Source organism: Homo sapiens, chromosome 4 (assembly GCF_000001405.40).
Source record: "Homo sapiens chromosome 4, GRCh38.p14 Primary Assembly".
Taxonomy (NCBI): domain Eukaryota; kingdom Metazoa; phylum Chordata; class Mammalia; order Primates; family Hominidae; genus Homo; species Homo sapiens.
The window spans coordinates 107,838,129-107,857,567 of NC_000004.12; the positions used below are offsets into that span (position 1 = coordinate 107,838,129).

The 19,439-nt window shown below is 37.8% G+C and overlaps 1 protein-coding gene across 16 annotated transcripts in view; it reads left to right on the forward strand.

Annotated features, from left to right (window-relative positions):
- The window catches only part of SGMS2 (sphingomyelin synthase 2), a 90,485-nt gene that overhangs the window by 13,566 nt on the left and 57,480 nt on the right, over nucleotides 1-19,439 (forward strand). The gene's annotated exons all lie outside the window — the stretch shown is intronic.

Genomic DNA, 19,439 nt, shown 5'->3' on the forward strand with positions numbered 1-19,439 from the left:
AGTAGGAGACCATGGGGTAACCAATGAGGAGGACCGAAAGAACAATGTCCCAGATGCTACAGGAACCAAATGTTTAAGACAGGGTGGAGTAATCAGTTCTCTTGTTAAGTTCTTAAAGAGTTGAGTAAGATGAGAACACAATGTTTGTTGGGTTTAGCAATGTGGAGGATACTTGAGATCTTGTTGAGCATTTTTAGAGAAGTGATTCAAAGCACAAATTAATTACTTCCAGCATCCCCTGCAGGAAACTTTCCTGCTCTCTGTCTTTTCCACTTTACCCTGTGGGCTAGAGGACTTCTTCTTCTTCTTCTTCTTCTTTTTTTGAAGTTACATATTAAAATATTTTGAAATAATTGTGCATTTACAGGAAGTTACAAAGATGATTCAGAGGGTTTTGTTAGCCTTCACTGGTTACTCCTGATGGTTGCATCTTGTGTAATTCTAGTACAATATCAAAACCAGTCCTCTTTTTGTTCCAAAGTTCGCAGGCCCTTCTTTGTCACTCCACTACTATATTATAATCTGGTTTTCTGTTTATATTGTATTTCTTCTAGACAGAGTGCCTTGAGCAGAGTTTATCCTTTTTTTTTTTAAGTATTTCCTAGCATGGTGCCACTTCATACCTGTTTGCTGAATTAATGAGTTGAATATTCTTGGATGCTGCTTTTTGCTTATATCATCTGCTACTGTGTTCTCTTAGGCAGAAGCAAATGAAGAGCCCAGGTTTCCTGTTTTCCAATCAATCTGCTAACCTCTTCCTGCACCATCTGCCTTCTGTAGCCACTGCCTTGCCTGGACTGAGGATATCTTTGCCCAGAATTACATCACTCCCTCTCCTCTCTGACTCTTCCTCCACCACAACCAAGCCAATTGCCAGTGATTGATTCTGAAGGCTTGCTTAGCTCCATTCCTTTCTTCTTGGACATTTCATTTGTACCCTGTACTTTTTTGGGAGTCATATATGAAAACCTGTGGAAATCCCCTTCTTACCTATTTCAGAAACTCCATCTTTCCCCCACCTCTGAGTTCTTTGGGTGAAGACATCTCTGAATTTACTTCATACAATTTACCATTTTTGAAACTTTCATTTGCCCCATTGCACACTTAAGTATCTTAGAGACCTAGAAAGTTTGGGTTCTATTTGCCTGGTAATAGTTGACCATGGCAACTTCAAAAGGGTTCTTTTTAACAACTTCCCCCTGCTCCACCCCAACGGTAGTTATTTTGCTACCAGGGCTGTGTGGAAGTGGTTTTTTTTTTCCCTTCTCTCCTACTTCTATCAGTTTGTTTTCCACTTCATTATCCTCCTGTTGCAACACCCCAATTATGCTAGTTGCTGTGGAGATATTAAGTGTATTGCTAATGGAGGATTATTCCTTTAAGTGGAGGGGTAGAAGCAAGAGGAGGTTATAAATCTTGTTTTTGTGCAAATGTTTCCTAGTAACAAAAATAATTAATGTTACTGGAGACCGTGGTATATAAATGGCTATATAGGATTTGCTTGTGTTTTTAGAAGGGATTGAATTTCTTAATTAAAGAAAATATTAAGATTCTGATCTTATTGGAGATTAATACCCTATTTTAATACTTTGCTGTTCATTAAGTCCCTTGAACATAAATTCCCCATATAGACAGAATATTTTCTTGAAATGATCTTTTAAAATTTATTTTTAAAAGCTTTTTAAAACTTTACTAGAGGGAGACACATTTTTGAATATTGTTCCATCTGATTTCTATTTCTTGAACTCTTGCAGCTTCCCATGGCCTTTATTCTATAATAATTAAGGTGATTGTGTGTCCTGGTTCACGCTAGTCACAGTGTATACCTATTGTCCTAGTGTACTTATTCATTAGTAAGGCTGTCTTTCACTGTCACAACTGGCCAGGTTTGGATGTTAAATTATATGGTCACCCTACTTAAAGACTACGTTTAATAGAAAACTGAAGAGTGAAGTATTTCATATATCCTGTTTTAATCCACATAACTTTTATACACATATGCACATACATATGTAATTTTTCACTTTTGCAACTAAACTTGTAGAATCTTGCCCCAATGTCTTGAAACTGCAGAAAGATATATATTGTTACTGTTGTAAGCAAGTCAAAAGAACTTTTCTTGATAGAACTCTGATTTCCTCATGTTATGTTTTCACTAAGATTCACTGCACTGTAGTAATGCCTGACTTGGCTCCTCCTAACTGGGCGAGGGCTGTTTTTGGGTGGTCAGTGTTGTACAAATATTAGCTGTTGTGATTTGAAAAGATCGTATCTCAAGTTTGATTCCCTCCTCCATATACATTTTCACCTCATGTTCACAATAGATTTCTTCTCCTAGACTGTTCATAGCCTCATCTCTCTATTAGCAGCTCAGTTATTGATATACCCAAGGGTAGACTAACAGCCACTGGAGTGAATAGGAAATAGGAAAGGAAAGATCTTTTAAAACTTGGACACAGTAAGAGGTAAAAAGTTCCATGTTGATATGCAATCTTGCATTTAAAAATATTCACATTCTTTCCCTAACACCTTCCTCTTAATATCAAGTATATTATTGTAAAAACTCTGAAAATCATACTAAAATTTTTATAATTTAATGAAAGATCCTGGAGAAATTTTTGGGCAGGTTATGCTCTAGGGCCAATGGGATCTTGAAGTGATTGTAAAAGTGAGTAAGAGTTAGTGAATTACTAGTATTGGAGGCCATCTTTCAGGGTTAATCTCTAGAAAAGAGTCCTGTTGCACTCTTCAACATGTCAGCAGAATCAAGGTTGGTGAAGGTAAGAGCTTGGTGACAACCAAGCAAGCACATATTTTGTGCCAGGCTGAGTGTACTATTGTAAACAAAACAGATGTGGTCCCTACCATCATGGAGCCTACCACCTAGTGTGGGAGACACCCAATTAAAACAAGGAAATGGGCATATAATTACAAGTTATGGAAAAGGACCAATGGTGCTGGGAAAATAAGAAGAGAGACCCACTTTAAAGAGTGATTAGTAAAAGGCCCCTTTTAGGAAGGAATATTAAAGTTGAGAAGCTGCTGGCCATGTGTAGTTGTTAACCCAAACCAAAACTCTATGAAGTTGGTGGTGTATCAAGGTGAGACTCATTAAGTAATTTGTTCAGGGTAATTGAACCAACTATTACCAAACATGAGGCCCTTCTGGGTTCCTCTTGCAGAGTTTCCCAAATCTTTTTTTCATTATTAACCCCTGAAGGCACCTTTTAGGCAAGTTTTTTCTAGCCACTCTTTTTCCCCTGTGAAATTTTAATGCCTTTGGAAGACTACAGACCTTTTTTTTTTTCAATATGCTTTTCAAGCACCAATCTTTGCCCTTGTTGAGAATGCATGGTCTAGCAGTAGGGCTCATTTTGAGGCAGTCAGAAATTGTCCTTGGATCTTCAGTTGAACTTTAAGTCCCTTGAAGTAGAGACCAACACTAGTTGGGAAAGCTGTAATAATAGATGCTACTTATCATGGTACTTTTTAAAAATTTTTTATTTTTTATGGGTACATTGTAGGTGTATATACTTATGGCCTTTTTTTTTAAGAGACAGGGTCTCACTATGTTGCCTAGGCTGGAGTACTGTGGTGCAATCACAGCTCACTGCAGCTCAAATGATCCTCCCACCTCAGCTTCCCAAGTAACTGGGACTACCATGCATGCCACCATGTTCAGCTAAACTTTTCAATTTTTTTTGTAGAGATAGGGTCTTGCACTGTTGCCCAGGCTGGTCTTGAACTCCTGGGCTCAAGTAATCCTCCTGCCTTGGCCTCTCAAAATGCTGGAACTTACAGGCATGAATCACTATGCCTGACCTTTAAAAAAATTTTTTTTTAATATTCCATGAGGTTGGGAGAAGCAGAATAAAGATGTTGGAAGTAGAGCTTGAAAGTTCTTAGATGGCTTGTTAAGGGTAGTCATGTAATATGTATTAGGTTGCGAAAAAAGTAGGGAATATATTTGAAATTAGGTAAGAAAGCTGTAGTCTGTATCTTCTGCTCTGTATCTGTGTCTGTGTGTTAAGGTGTGTAGTAGGCTGTTCTTGCATTGCCATAAAGAAATACCTGAGGCTGGCTAAATTATTTCAAAAAGAGGCTTTAATTGGCTCACTGTTCTGCAGACAGTACAAGAAGTGTAATGCCAACATCTGCTTCTGGTGAGGGCCTCAGGAAGCTTACAATCATGGCAGAAGGTGAAGGGGAGCAGGTGTCTCACATGGCTAGAGCGGGAGCAAGAGAGAGAGGAGCGAGGTGCCACACACTTTTAAACAACCAGATCTCATGTGAACTCAAAGTGAGAACTTATCACCAAGGGGATGGTGCCGAACCAATTCATGAGGGATCTGCCAGGTTCTACCTCCAACACTGGGGATTACATTTCAACATGAGATTTGGAGGGGATGAACATCTAAATTATATCAAGATGTGTGTGAGTGAGACATTTAGATCAAATTAGTTCTAGTTGTCTGGTAGACAGTCATGGAAACTAGAGTAAGGTGTACACGACTTAATGACCTGTCGTGTAATTCCCATGAGTGCCTCAAAGAATTTTTGAGGCAGGCTCATTCTATCAGACTTCAACATTTTAAAGGCATTACATCCTTTTATTGTTTCATCAGCCACTAGTGCCAGATAGATCTTAACTTTTTTTTCAACTCTTTAAATCCTGTGGTGTAATCGGAGCTGATTTTCCCCCTTTTAATCTTTTTGTTTTGTTTTCCTTCTTAACAAGCAAATTCCCTTTAGTAGGGGCAGGAAAATTATGAAACTACATTCAGAAAGGATGTGATTTATAAAAGTTCCTTCTAAATGAATTAGTAGGAAAGGCAATATATGGTATTAGTCGCTACATTTCGTTTCTGTTCTTTTTGCCCCATTTGCACAAGCAACTGAGCCCCTACTTTGAGATGGCCCTATTTTGCCATCATCACTAAACAAAACAAGACCTTCAGTTTGTTTTTAAATGGTGTGCTTGAACCTTCTACTAAAATGTTATTTGTGAAACAATCTTAGGGTTGGGTATAGACTCACTGGTTTTTTTTTTTTAATGAAAACTTCCTCTTCACTTTTTTATACAAGTAATTAGCTATTCTGGCATTCTGAGAATCCTTTGATCCCTTCAACTTAAATATTGACAAAATGCGTAATTTGAATCATTTGTTCTCAAAAACGTTTTTACTTATTTATATGAGAATTGATTATATTCTAAAGAGAATGTGGATTGTGACTTTAAACTTATCCTGAATTTAACAAATTATTAAATGTTTATAAAGCACAAATGTTCCTAATAGTTTCTTAATATGGAATTTGGAAGCAGAAGTAGTGGAAGATGTGTGGTGTCAGCTGTGAATTGCCATGGATGTGCTTGTCAACAAAGAGAAGCCGAATAAGCTGAGTGTCATGGCAACAGAGACTGGAGGAGGAGCTCTGAGGCCTGGAGTGCTCAGGTCAACCTCCATCCTCTGGGTGCTTTCACCTGAAAAGGCTCAAAGATCTCACATCCTTTGGGTTAGGACTGAAGAGTAAATTTATTGTGCAACAGAGTGCTGTGTTATGAAGGGCATTCAGTGTGACCAACCAGGTTCCAAGAAGGCTTGGATGTCTTCTTCTCTGTCCCCTCAAGTCTGAAGCAGGGCAGAGCCCATTGAATTCTAGATGTAATTCACAGAAAACACCAAAAAAGTTTCAAAAGTTTGTTTGAAATTGAGATGTTTTCATTTAAAATCACAGTATAAAACTTACATGGAATTTTGAAAATGGCAGAAAATTATTTTTGGGGACCTGGCTGTTATTTCTGCAGTCAGTTTTCTGTCTTATGGTAGAATCTTATTTGTAGATATGCTTCATGTTAACTGTATATTCTTGATCGATGAGTAGTTTCAAGAGGTGATTAAAATACCTCTTTTTGCCAGGCACGGTGGCTCACGCCTATAATCCCAGCACTTTGGGAGGCCAAGACAGGCAGATCATGAGGTCAGGAGTTCGAGACTAGCCTGGCCAACATAGTGAAACCCAGTCTCTACTAAAAATACAAAAAAAGTTAGCCGGGCATGGAGGTGGGCACCTGTAGTCCCAGCTACTTGGGAGGCTGAGGCAGGAGAATCACTTGAACCTGGGAGGTGGAGGTTGCAGTGAGCTGAGATTGGGCCACTGCACTCCAGCCTGGGTGACAGAGTGAGACTCTATCTCAAAAAAAAAAATGCTCTTTTTAAAATCATCTTGCATTTGGCCAGGTTGGGTGGGCATGTAACTAAAGTGTCTAGGAGTGTTTAAAAAAAAAGTGTCGGATGGACATGGTGGCTCACACCTGTAACCCCAGCACTTTGGGAGGCTGAGGCTGAAAGATCACATGAGCCCAGGAATTTGAGACCAGCCTGGGCAATGTAAGGAAAGATAGTCTGTACAAAAAATAAAAATAAAATTAAGCATGGAGGTGCACACCTGTGGTCCCAGCTACTCTACTGGAGAATCTGAGGTGGGAGGATCACCTGACCTCAGGAGGTCAAGGCTGCAGTGAGCCGTGATTGCACCACCGCTCTCCAGCCTGAGCAACAGAACAAGATCCTGTCTCCAAAAAAATGTGTCTATTCTCATTAAGACTTAATTTTAGATTCTAAAATGAACCAATTTTAGATTCTAAAATGAACCAATGAAATGACAGTCCATCTCTTCAAAGAGCTCATGTGTAAATGGGATTTAACCAGGTATAGTCAAATACAGATTAATTTTCTTTCAGGTGCTGATTGATGTAGCCTTTGATCTGTCTTAGTTCCTAATGGAGACTGGACCATTTGTTCTCTCTTAAACTGGGGAGAGAGTTGATACAAGCTGTGGCAGATGATTGTAGCTCTCCTAGAAAAGAGGCTTGGAAGTCTTCTTCCCTGTCCCCTCAAGTCAGGGGCAAGCCAGAGCCCATACATGCAAGAGCAGTTTTGCTGAGCCAGGAAGGGAAACTAATCAGGAAAAATGAGACAAGAGGCTAGGCTGAATGCCCCAGGCCAGGGAGCAGAAAGTTATAGAACTCCCTAGAGATGGAGTCTTTTGGGCCACAGGATGATGTCGTAGCATCCTGCAAGAGGCATCTGAGGCCTGGATTAGCAGAACCTTCCTTCTCCAAGGCTCTGAGAACAGTCTGGATTTGGTACTGGAAGCAGGAAACAAGAAAGAGTGATCATCATATGTTGCAGGAGTAGTAAAGGAGCCCGTGATCTGAAAGGAAGAGGAGCATGTGGCCATTTAGTGAAAACAGGGTTACTGAGAAGCATTGTGAGGTGTGCTCTGCACCTTCCTCTGTTGTGTGTGGTTTGTACCCCAACATTCTCAACATAATCAGCTGGTCCTCAAGGGTGCTTCACTATTGTGAGCCTAATGGGACTCACAAACCAAATAAAGTATAGGATAGCTGTCTCCCCTTGAGAAAAGGTTTTAAACAAGAGAAACCTGGCTTGTAGTGTGGTTCCTTGAGACAAGCAGCTACTAAACCCTTTAATTAGGGGCACTATTAAAGTGAATCTTGGGCTACAAGTATGTTCTTAAGGGATGTCTGAAAAGATGTCATTTTGGAAGTAAAGCAAGTCTTCTCTTAGGCATTGTTTTGTCAGGGCACAATTTTGCAGATGCACATTAAGGATTTGTGCTAAGCTTCCCTACATGTGCTTGTGTTGCACGCTGAATGAGGGATAAGGCGTGTCCTGCCATTTGTTATATAAAGCTTCCCTTTCATGAATATGTATGTTGAATAGGAAAGCTATAGGAGGCAGCAATGGAGTTACAGATCTAAATGTTATGCCACCAAATGGAATGCTGCCCTGACCACAAATGTTGTTTCATCAACATTAAGCTGCATTTAGAATGCTCTTTACTTTTAGAAGGCTTAAGTGCTTTCGAATTGTAAGGTAAATTTAGATCAGTGATTGTATTTGAGCAAATTGTCATTATTCTTAAAGGATCTAACTAGGGGTGTGGAAAGCTGTTTTTTTTTATTATTATAATTGTACTTTAAGTTTTAGGGTACATGTGCACAATGTGCAGGTTAGTTACATATGTATACATGTGCCATGCTGGTGTGCTGCACCCATTAACTTGTCATTTAGCATTAGGTATATCTCCTAATGCTAACCCTCCCCCCTCCCCCCACCCCACAATAGTACCCAGAGTGTGATGTTCCCCTTCCTGTGTCCATGTGTTCTCATTGTTCAATTCCCATCTATGAGTGAGAACATGTGGTATTTGGTTTTTTGTCCTTGCGATAGTTTACTGAGAATGATGATTTCCAATTTTATCCATGTCCCTACAAAGGACATGAACTCATCATTTTTTATGGCTGCATAGTATTCCATGGTGTATATGTGCCACATTTTCTTAATCCAGTCTATCATTGTTGGACATTTGGGTTGGTTCCAAGTCTTTGCTATTGTGAATAGTGCCGCAATCAACATACGTGTGCATGTGTCTTTATAGCAGCATGATTTATAGTCCTTTGGGTATATACCCAGTAATGGGATGGCTGGGTCCAATGGTATTTCTAGTTCTAGATCCCTGAGGAATCGCCACACTGACTTCCACAATGGTTGAACTAGTTTACAGTCCCACCAACAGTGTAAAAGTGTTCCTATTTCTCCACATCCTCTCCAGCACCTGTTGTTTCCTGACTTTTTAATGATTGCCATTCTAACTGGTGTGAGATGGTATCTCATTGTGGTTTTGATTTGCATTTCTCTGATGGCCAGTGATGATGAGCATTTTTTCATGTGTCTTTTGGCTGCATAAATGTCTTCTTTTGAGAAGTGTCTGTTCATATCCTTTGCCCACTTTTTGATGGGCTTGTTTGTTTTTTTCTTGTAAATTTGTTTGAGCTCATTGTAGATTCTGGATATTAGCCCTTTGTCAGATGAGTAGATTGCGAAAATTTTCTCCCATTTTGTAGGTTGCCTGTTCACTCTGATGGTAGTTTCTTTTGCTGTGCAGAAGCTCTTTAGTTTAATTAGATCCCATTTGTCAATTTTGGCTTTTATTGCCATTGCTTTTGGTGTTTTAGACATGAAGTCCTTGCCCATGCCTATGTCCTGAATGGTAATGCCTAGGTTTTCTTCTAGGGTTTTTATGGTTTTAGGTCTAACATTTAAGTCTTTAATCCATCTCGAATTGATTTTTGTATAAGGTGTAAGGAAGGGATCCAGTTTCAGCTTTCTACTTATGGCTAGCCAGTTTTCCCAGCACCATTTATTAAATATGGAATCCTTTCCCCATTGCTTGTTTTTCTCAGGTTTGTCAAAGATCAGATAGTTGTAGATATGCGGCGTTATTTCTGAGGGCTCTGTTCTGTTCCATTGATCTATATCTCTGTTTTGGTACCAGTACCATGCTGTTTTGGTTACTGTAGCCTTGTAGTATAGTTTGAAGTCAGGTAGTGTGATGCCTCCAGCTTTGTTCTTTTGGCTTAGGATTGACTTGGCGATGCGGGCTGTTTTTTGGTTCCATATGAACTTTAAAGGAAAGCTGTTTTTGACTAATGTTTGGGTGTTGCGTTGCATCTTAAACCACGTAATTGGAGTATTTCTTGTTTTACTTTGTGAAAACAGATTATTGTTGTCTTAGATAATACTAAGAGTTTATAGCTAATTCTGAGAAATACTTTTTTGGTAAATTAATAGGCGTTTTTTAAAAAGCAGTTTCAGATTTACAGAAACAATGAACAGAAAGTACTGAGTTCCCATAAGCTATACCCCTACCCCTCAGTTTCCCACATTAGTGTAGTACACTTTGTACAGTTAAGGAGCCAATATGATATATTATTAACCAAAGTCCATAGTTTAGAGTTCACTTTTTATATTGTACATTCTGTGGGTTTTGAAAAATGTGTAATGACATGTAGCTCTCATTGTAGTACTATACAGAATAGTTTCACTGCCCTAAAAGTCTGTGTTCTGCGTATTCACTCCTCCCCAATCCTCAACCTCTGGCAACCACTCATCTCTTTACTGTCTCCATAGTTTTACATTTTCTAGAATTTCATGTAGTTGGAATCATACAGTATATAGCCTTTTCAGATTGGCTTCTTTCATTTAGCAGTTTGCATTTAATGTTTCTTCATGTCTTTGTAGTTTGAAATAGCTCATTTCTTTTTAGCCTGAATAATAATACTGCATTATGTGATGTACCGTAGTTTGTTTACTCATTCACCTATTGAAGGACCTCTAGGTTGTCTCCAGTTTTAGGCAATTATGAATAAAGTTGCTTAAACATTTGTGTGCAGCTTTTGTGGGGACAGAAGTTTTCAATTCATTTGAGTAAATACCAAGGAGAACTATTGCCTTGTCACATGCTAAGACTCTGTTTAGTTTTATAAGAAACTGCCTTACTGTCCACCAGTGTGGGTGGATTATTTTGCATTCCCACCAGCAATGAATGAGAGTTCCTGTTGCTCCACATCCTCACCAGCATTTGGTGGTGTTAGTATGGATTTTAGCTGTTGTATATGGTTGTAGCTCATTGTTGTTTTAAATTGCAAATCCCTAATTGCATATGATATTGAGCATCTTTTCATATAATTTTTTGTCATCTATATGTCTTGTTTGATGAGGCATCTGTTCAGATATTTTGCCCACCTTTTAATTAGGTTATTTTTCTTGTTGAGTTTTAGGAGCTCTATTTATATTTAGAATATGTTTTTTATCAGATGTGTGTTTTGCAAATACTTTCTCCTAGTCAATGACTTGTCTTTTTCTTAACAGTGTTTCTTAGAGTAGAAGTTTTTAATTTTAATGGAGTCCAACTTACCAATTTTTTCTTTCTTTCATGCTTTTGGTGTTACATCTAACAACCTATTGCCAAACCTAAGGTCACTTAGATTTTCTTCTATGTTATCTTATAAATTAGTATCTAGATTCATTTTTTTTTACATATGGAAGTCGGGTTGTTCAGCACAATTCGTTGAGAAGACTATCCTGAGAAGCAGTACTTTCAACATGCAGAGAAACAGACTGGTTCTCTAAGGGAATGCTTAATTTCTGCTTGAGTTCCTCGTGTTCCCTCTGTAAACCTTTCATGAAGTTTCATAGAATAGAGAGCTGTGTCTACAGGAGGGTACAATGCGTTGCCTTTCTCCTTAGTTATGTCTGAGAGCACTCCTGTCCAGCAAAACTGACTGCAATGCTGAAATGTTCCATAATTTTACACTGTCCAGTACAGTAGCCACAAGTCATCACATGTGCCTATTGAATACTTGAAATGTAGCTAGTGTGACTGAGGAACTGAATTTTAAATTTTAATGAATTTAAATTAAAATTTAAGTAGCCCCATGTACCTTGTAGCTGTTGTATTGGACAGTCCGGCAATAGAAAGTCAGAACAAATTTGAGAGACTATTAAATCAGTGTCTTTATTTTTCTCCTTCAACAAATACTTGATAATACTTACTATGTACTAGGAGATGTCTGGGTCCTGAGGGTACAGATGAACTGCAAATTGTGGTTGAGTTCACTGTGGTCCACAGAATTAAAGTGACTTTTTAAAGATCACAATTGACTTTTTAAAGATCACAATATCAGAGTCCAGATTAAAACCAGATCTCCTAATTGTAATAAATAGTTTTTGCCCATGGTCTTTTCCCCAGAAAGCCCTTGGCTTGTTTTCATCATATTTCCCTCTGCTCTCAATTAGAGGGTAGCTCACAAACTACATTATTCCATTATTATTACATTATTACAATTTAGCCAAAGTACTAAATTTGAAATGAAAAACAAAGTGAAAAATGAGTGTGTGTATCCCCACTGGAAAGAATACACGTGTGATATAGTTTGGATGTGTGTCCCCACCCAAATATCATGTTGAATTATAATCCCCAGTATTGGATGTGGGGCCTGCAGGGAGGTGATTAGATCATGGTGGTTGATTTCTCATGAATGATTTAGTATCATCTTCTTGGTACTGTTCTCACAATAGTGAGTTCTCAGAAGATCTGGTCATTTAAAAGTGTATGGCATCTCTCCTCCCACTGTCTCTTGATCCTGCTCTGGCCATGTGATGTGCTTGCTCTTCCTTTACCTTCCACCATGATTATAAGTTTCCTGAGGCTTCCTGAGAAGCAAGCAGATGCCAGCATCATGCTTCCTATAAAGCCTGCAGAACTTCAATTAAACCTCTTTTCTTTATAAATTACCCAGTCTCAGGTATTTCTTTATAGCAGTGCAAGAATGGTCTAAGACAATGTGGTTACATTTCCCTTATACTTTTTTGTTTGTTTAGAAATGTGATGGAAAACTGGTATTGTTTACTATCTCTAAGCCTTTTTGGAAAGATAAGAATTATTCTTTACTTTTTCCTATAGCAAGCTTTAGACTCTTTATGGAGGTAAGGGAAAACCTCAGAGGTTCTCTTTCTGTGTGGTAAACCCCATCCTTCTCTTGAAGGTGCCATATTCTGAGATCAAGGGGCATCCAGGGTACCTAGCCCAAGAAGAGAGGTGTGATCACTGAAAATGACATTAGTAACATTTACTCCTTTCACTTTCCCTTCCTATAGTACCTGAGGTGTAGCCTCTGACCTTGCATGACTTAGAAGTCTGAGGTAAAAGCATGTGGCTGACCTATTTACGTGGTCAGCATCACCATCCCGTTTTGTGACAGCCCATTAGAGCTTGGGTGGTTTCTGAGGTTCCACTGGCAGGTCCTCTGATTTCCACCTTGATACTCATCCAAATGCATTCATCTTCCCAACTTCTGGGGGCTTTGCTTTATTTTCCTTTATGTTGCTCAAGATTCAGTTGCAAAACCTTCTACGAGTGTACCCCTCATTTCACTTTCTTCTTCTCTTGCTCCAGTGATTCCTGGTACTTTAATACTCTCTTTCATATGGACACCACCAAATAACTCCTTAGCATCCTGAATATTTAATTTCTTAACTCCCGTTTTGTTCTCTCTGCATGTCATCCTGCCTCTAAAACTTAAAAGAAGACTTGAAAAAACTTTGCTTTGTGAAATAGGGGTTTATGTAAATATGCTAATATGCAACTTGCTTTCTGATTGCTTGGAAGGAATATTGGAAGCCTGCAGGGTGTGGAAGTCTACGGTGCATGCCATGCTCATGGTACACCTGGTGGAAGTCTTTGTAAGAGTTATGACAAGTACAAATCATTCATCTTTCAAACAAGTTTCTCACAAGAGAAGCAAACCGCTGATAACTACAGAGGAGGCTAGAGTAAGCAACCTCTTAGAAATCTTAAGAACAAGGACAACAACAGATTAGGAGAGAGGAAAATAAAAACTAGAGGACATGGATTGCCAACCAGGTAGTCCAAGTAATTACCATCCAGTCAACGAGAGATTTGGATGGCTAGAAAGCTGAAGGGCACTGCCTAACCTGGATAGTTAACATACACTTAGCTCTGACTAAATTACTCAGGTATAGCCATTCTGCTCAGTCTGTTAACCTACTCAGGTGTATATTCTACAGGATCCTTACAGTTTTGACAATAACACTTCTGTATATCCTGATGAGTTTTTCTGCATCCCAGCAAATATCCTCTCTCCCTAAGCAAGAAGGGCAGCTTCTCTATAATAACCCCCTCCCAAATTTGCTTCTATCTTAATTCACATTTTTGAATTAAGTTTCTTGTTTTATTTTTACTTTGGGTTTCATTTCTATTTCAAAGACAGGATTTTATTTGAGCATGAGTAGTAATCATAGTAAATATGTACATTTTCCTTTATTTTTATCAACTATATAATTAGGCTATATTTAACTGGAGAGGCTGACCTCTTTGCTACTTGGTGGTACATCACCACAAATGGCATCTTGCTAAAAGGAAAACTTTTAAGATTCCAGACTGAATGCCTTTATTTGCTTGCCCCACACACAGACTGATCAAAATGAAAAATGAGGTGTACCGTTTTTATCCTCGGAGCATAATGATATGAAACAATGTGCTTGTCATAATAATTTTTTTTTTTTTTTGAGACAGAGTCTCACTTTTTCACCCAGGCTGGATTGCAGTGGCGCGATCTCGGCTCGCTGCAAGGTCCGCCTCCTGAGTTCACTGCATTCTCCTGCCTCAGCCTCCCGAGTAGCTGGGACTACAGGTGCCTGCCATCACTTACACCCAGCTAATTTTTTTTTTTGTACTTTTAGTAGAGACGGGGTTTCACCGTGTTAGCCAGGATGGTCTGGATTTCCTGACCCCGTGATCCGCCTGCCTCAGCCTCCCAAGTCATAATAATTTTTTAAAAAAGAATGTGACTATGGTAGCTATTTGGAAATGTGTTTTGGGAGTTTTTGTGTCATCTTTTCTCTTTAACTTTCTAATTATAATAGCAACTCATGTTTATTTTAGGAAATGTTATGCCTGGATAAGCAAAAGAAAAATTTAAGTCATCTATAAATCTATTATATGTTAGCATTTTGCATTATCTTTCTAGTCACATTTATATTTACACATGCAACTTGTAGAAACAGGAGAAATAGGATCATACACATATCATTGTTTTATACCCATGAATATATAATGCACCTCTTATCATTCCCCACTAACTGTGATAGGAGCATTTCATTATTCCATTGTACCTACCCACCATGTTGTTTTTAACATGTCTCTTATTATTGGACACTTGTTTCTCATTTTTTTTTTTTACTGTTACTGGCAATGTCTTGGTTAATAGGCTCAGAACTAATCTTTGTTGATGTTCTTAGGAGGTTTATAGAATATATGAAATATATTTTACAATAGCCCTGGAAAGCAGTGTAATAATTTTATGTTGGTATTTTAAAGAGTCAATTTAATATGTAGAAAAATGGTATCTCACTTCTTTGAGTTTCTTTTCTCACTGGTAAGGTTAAACACTTTCTCACTTTAAATGTTAAAGTATAAGAGTTTATTTTCTTTTATTGTGAAGGTTTGAAGGCATTTGTTTAAAATTATTTAATTTTTACTGTTATGATATTATATGACCTTCTTGTCATCGCTCATGACTTTAACCTTAGGAGGTTAATCATTTGGATATAACAACTTTGTGTCATGAAAGAAAGAACAAGATTGCCAATTGTCTGGGCCATGGAAGACCTAACAGAAACTGTAGAAAGCAGAGCTTATGAGACAGAACTTTTTAATAGGTGTGTCAGGCTTTCTGGGCTTAAAAAAAAAGTCCTGTTTCTTGGATATTTTAATTCAGTCTGCATTGGGCAGAGAGAAGTACAGAGTTGCCTTTCAATATATTTTAAATTTAACAGTCTATAATTAGAAAACACTATTTGAGCTCTTATAATAAACTTTCACTCTGAAAGTACCCATCTAAATTAGTGGGTCATTCCTCCCCACTCCTTTTCTCCCTCCCCCTCAGTCACATCTGCCATAGCCATATCCATGGACTCTGCTTCTGTAAGTTCAAACTTGTGGGTCACTGTTTCATAATATTAAATGATATTAGTGGGGCTTACTCCCTCCCCTTATAAGATTACTTCAGTGACTTCCTTATCTTGAGAGGAACTGACATGTGATTCTTTAGGAACACAGCTTATCTTATAAAATGGGAGTTAGTCAGTGAACAAATATTTATAACCCTCAATTCTGTGCCAGAAAGACAGCAGAGAATCTGACACATGTGATCCCTTCCCTCACAGAGCTTGCAGTCTCACTGGAAAGAGACAAGTAAATCTCTACAAATAACTGACCAAAGTTACAGTTAGCAAACTGTTAAGTCAGAGAAAAAGTAGAAAGTAACGTGGAGCAAGGGAAAGGAAACCAAATGCGGTCTGGAATGGTCAAAAAAAGCTTCTCCAAGAATGCACAGGAGTTAGTTATAAATGCCATCTCTTGCTCTCCTTCCTTGCAGAATGCTACATTTAGTGTACGTGAACCGCAAGGGAATTAATCTATTTTCTATTCTCTTTAGCAATACTCCATAGGTATGCAAATGAAAATACATTGCTATAGTTGATTAATAAGATTATTACCATTTTATCTGAAGAAAACATTGTTAAATAATTAGCCTTAAGAACAACATGCTTTGCCAGATGGAATGAAAACGGCTGATAAATCACTGGGACATCAGCTTAGTCACAGGACTGTGTAATAGCTGTGGAAATTCAACTTTATCGTGTCTTCCATGTACAATATGGGACTATCTGAAGGAAGACGGGTCGTTTTCTAGCTAAGGTTTGCACCGTATAACTAGTCTTTTAAAGAAAAGTTATCTACTGTCCAATTTACAATAAAACATGGCTTAAGCATAATAGCTTTTGTAATTCATAAAAGTTCTGTGTTTAACTGTTAGGTGGAGCCTGAGATGACTATGACTAATAGGAATATTCTTCCAAGTTGTTTAATCCCCTGAGATGATTATGGCTGTTCTTTAGCCAGACAATGGCTCTGAAGTCCATTAAACTTAAAAACAGATGCTTCTAGGGGGAGTTGCTTTTCAATGCATCAGGTTACTTAGTGTTTTTATGTGGCTATATTTTGGCCATCTCCTAATGTTGGAGAATTTGTTTCAGAGATCTGGAACTGTCTCCTCCTCAGCTCTGGTTATCAGAAGCATGGCAGAGGGAAATGGAAGTAAAAGATGGATTGGAGATTTCTGGTGCAGTTGTGAGCCGATCATCAGAGCTGTATATTTGTATCACATTGCCTTGTCTTCCTACTACAGAAATTGTAGAGAGTTATGCCTTGGGATTTATTGAGAAACAGTGAAAAACTATCAAGTGACGTCATATGGCGGTCTTCCCTGGTCTGCAGTATTGCTCATTGCCTCTTGTGTACAGACCATATTAAAGTTAAGTGTCAAATGCTTTCTTTTTCCTCCTGAGGAACAAAATATGGTTCCCACTTGCCTTCCTCCAAACACATATGGAGATATATGCATTTTCTCTCTTTCTCTGAGTTTGGAAAATTTTTTCCCCTCTATCTACAAAGGAGTTGAGAGCCAAATATGCAGTACAGTTTTAGTCATTTTGCAAGACTTAACTAGTATGCTCTATTTTAATCATTTAACAAATACATATAATGCTTACTATATACCAGGTGCTGTTTCTGATGTCTTTATTAGTATTAACTCCTTTGGTTCTTTCTTTTTTCTCCATTTATTTCTGCTTTGATGTTTATTATTTCCTTCTACTAATTTTGGATTTGTTCTTTTCTAGTTCCTTGAGGTACACCATTAGGTTATTTATTTGGAGTCTTTCTATGTTTTCGATGTAGGCATATGGTGCTATAAAATTCCCTCGGTACTGCTTTTGCTGTATCTGATAGGTTCTGGTATGTTGTGTTTCCATTTTCATTTATTTTGAGAAATGTTTAAATTTCCTTCTTAATTTCTTTGTTGATTGTTCAGGAGCATTTTGCTTAATTTCCATACATTTGCACAGTTTCCAAAGCTCTTCTTGTTATTGATTTTTCGTTTTATTCCATTGGATTCAGAAAAGACACTTGGATATAATAGTGACTTTTTTGAATTTGTGGAGACTTGTTTTGTGGTCTAAGATATGATCTATTCTGGAGAATGTTCCATGTGCTGCTGAGAAGAATGTGTATTGTATAGCCGTTGGATGAAATGTTGTGTAAATGTCTGTTAGTAGGTCCATTTGGTCTAGAGTATAGTTTAATTCCAATGTTTTTTACTGATTTTCTGCGTGGATGATCTGTCCATTGCCAAAAGTGGGGTGTTGAAGTCCTCTACTATTATTGTTTTGCAATCTGTCTCTCCCTTTAGATCTATTTTTGTTTTTATATAACCTTTGATTCTTTTAAGGACCTTGTTAAGTTAGTACTATTTATAGATGAGGGAACTAAGGCTCAGGGAAATTAAGTATCATGCCTGGAGCCATAATACTTAATCGTGGAGTCATGCTAAGTGTGGAGTTGGCCTTCAGAATCCTTGTTCATAAACATCAAGCTTTGCTGTCTCTGCAGTGATTTGCTACCGGGAGCAGGTAGAACAATATTCAGTCCCAGGAGATAGCATTCCCTCTTCCACTACACCTTGTGATCAAGAAACCTTCTCTATATTTACCTGCCTCTGTGATTCTACATTAATCATCTCACAGTAGTATTTTGCTGTTGTTATATAATTTACTTTATTCCTTTGTGAAATTATACATTCTACATATACTTTAAAATAAATCATGAACTTATAAGATACTATTTAAAATGAATGTAGTCTTAATGTAACACCATGTTAAGATATATACAGAAAGGGATTTTGGAGTAGTAAGCTTGAATTTGTTTTGCATTTCCAGTATCTACCCTTTTGCCCATTCTCCTTTTTGACAAGGGCACACATTTTCAGCTTGACTAGATGAAAAGTGCTAGGTTTGGCTACGTAACTGAATAAAATCTATAAGCTGACCATATTAGAAATATCATTAATACCATGCTCTAAACAATTGTAATTGTCCACAGACTTGAGTTAGAGTGCAAAAGCAACTATCTGCTTTAATTTTATTTGCGTGGAGTGAGTGGGGATGGTAGGTGGAGTCGAGAGAGGGTGATAACCGGAGAAGGGTTCCAAGTGAAACGAGAAAAACATCCTCCAAGGATAAGGTGATCTTTCCAGAGGGGTAAACATGTACCATGGGGAGTGTAGTGTACAGTATCTGAAGTGTAAAACTAAACTGCTTGTCCCTTTTAATGGGGTCTAGTAATGCTTACTGGAATATAGCATTTTGGGCCAGTTGAAGTTTATTTCATCTGTTCACAGCATTTCAGATATTCTTTTGTTCTTTTAATTTTACAACAGTTGCACTGAGATGTAATTCACATACCATAAAACTGGCCTTTTTAAAGTGTACAAATCAGTAGTTTTTGGTGTATTCAGAGTTGTGCCACCAACCCCACTATTTAATTCTAGAATATTTACAGCACTCCAGAAAGAAACCCTATACCCATTAGCATTCACTTTCCATTCTCTTCTTCCCCTAGCCCTTGGCAACCACAAATCTTTCTGTCTTTATGGATTTGCCTATTCTGCACATTTCATATAAATGGGATCATATAACATGTGGTCTTTGTGACTGGCTTCTTTCACTTAGAATAATGTTGTCAGGATTCATTCGTGCTACAGTGTGTATCACTGCCTTATTCCTTTCCATTGCCCAATAATATTATATGGGTTTGCCACATTTTGTTTATCCATTTAATAGTTGATGGACATTTGGGTTTTTTCCACTTTGGGGCCATTATGAATAATGCTGTTATGAATATTTGTGTACAGTTTTTGCTTGGACTGGTGTTTTCATTTTTTTGGGGGGTATATACCTAAGAGTGACACATTTGTTCTTGAGTTTCTTCCAAGAGTTGAGTATTTTTGATTAAGATGGGATCTCAACTAAAAATCGATTTCTGGTTGCACATGAGTGTACATCCTGCAGTTGTTAAACAGATTTTAATGAAATTTGTTAGGTAGTTAAAAGATATATATATATATATATATATGCTACCAAATCATA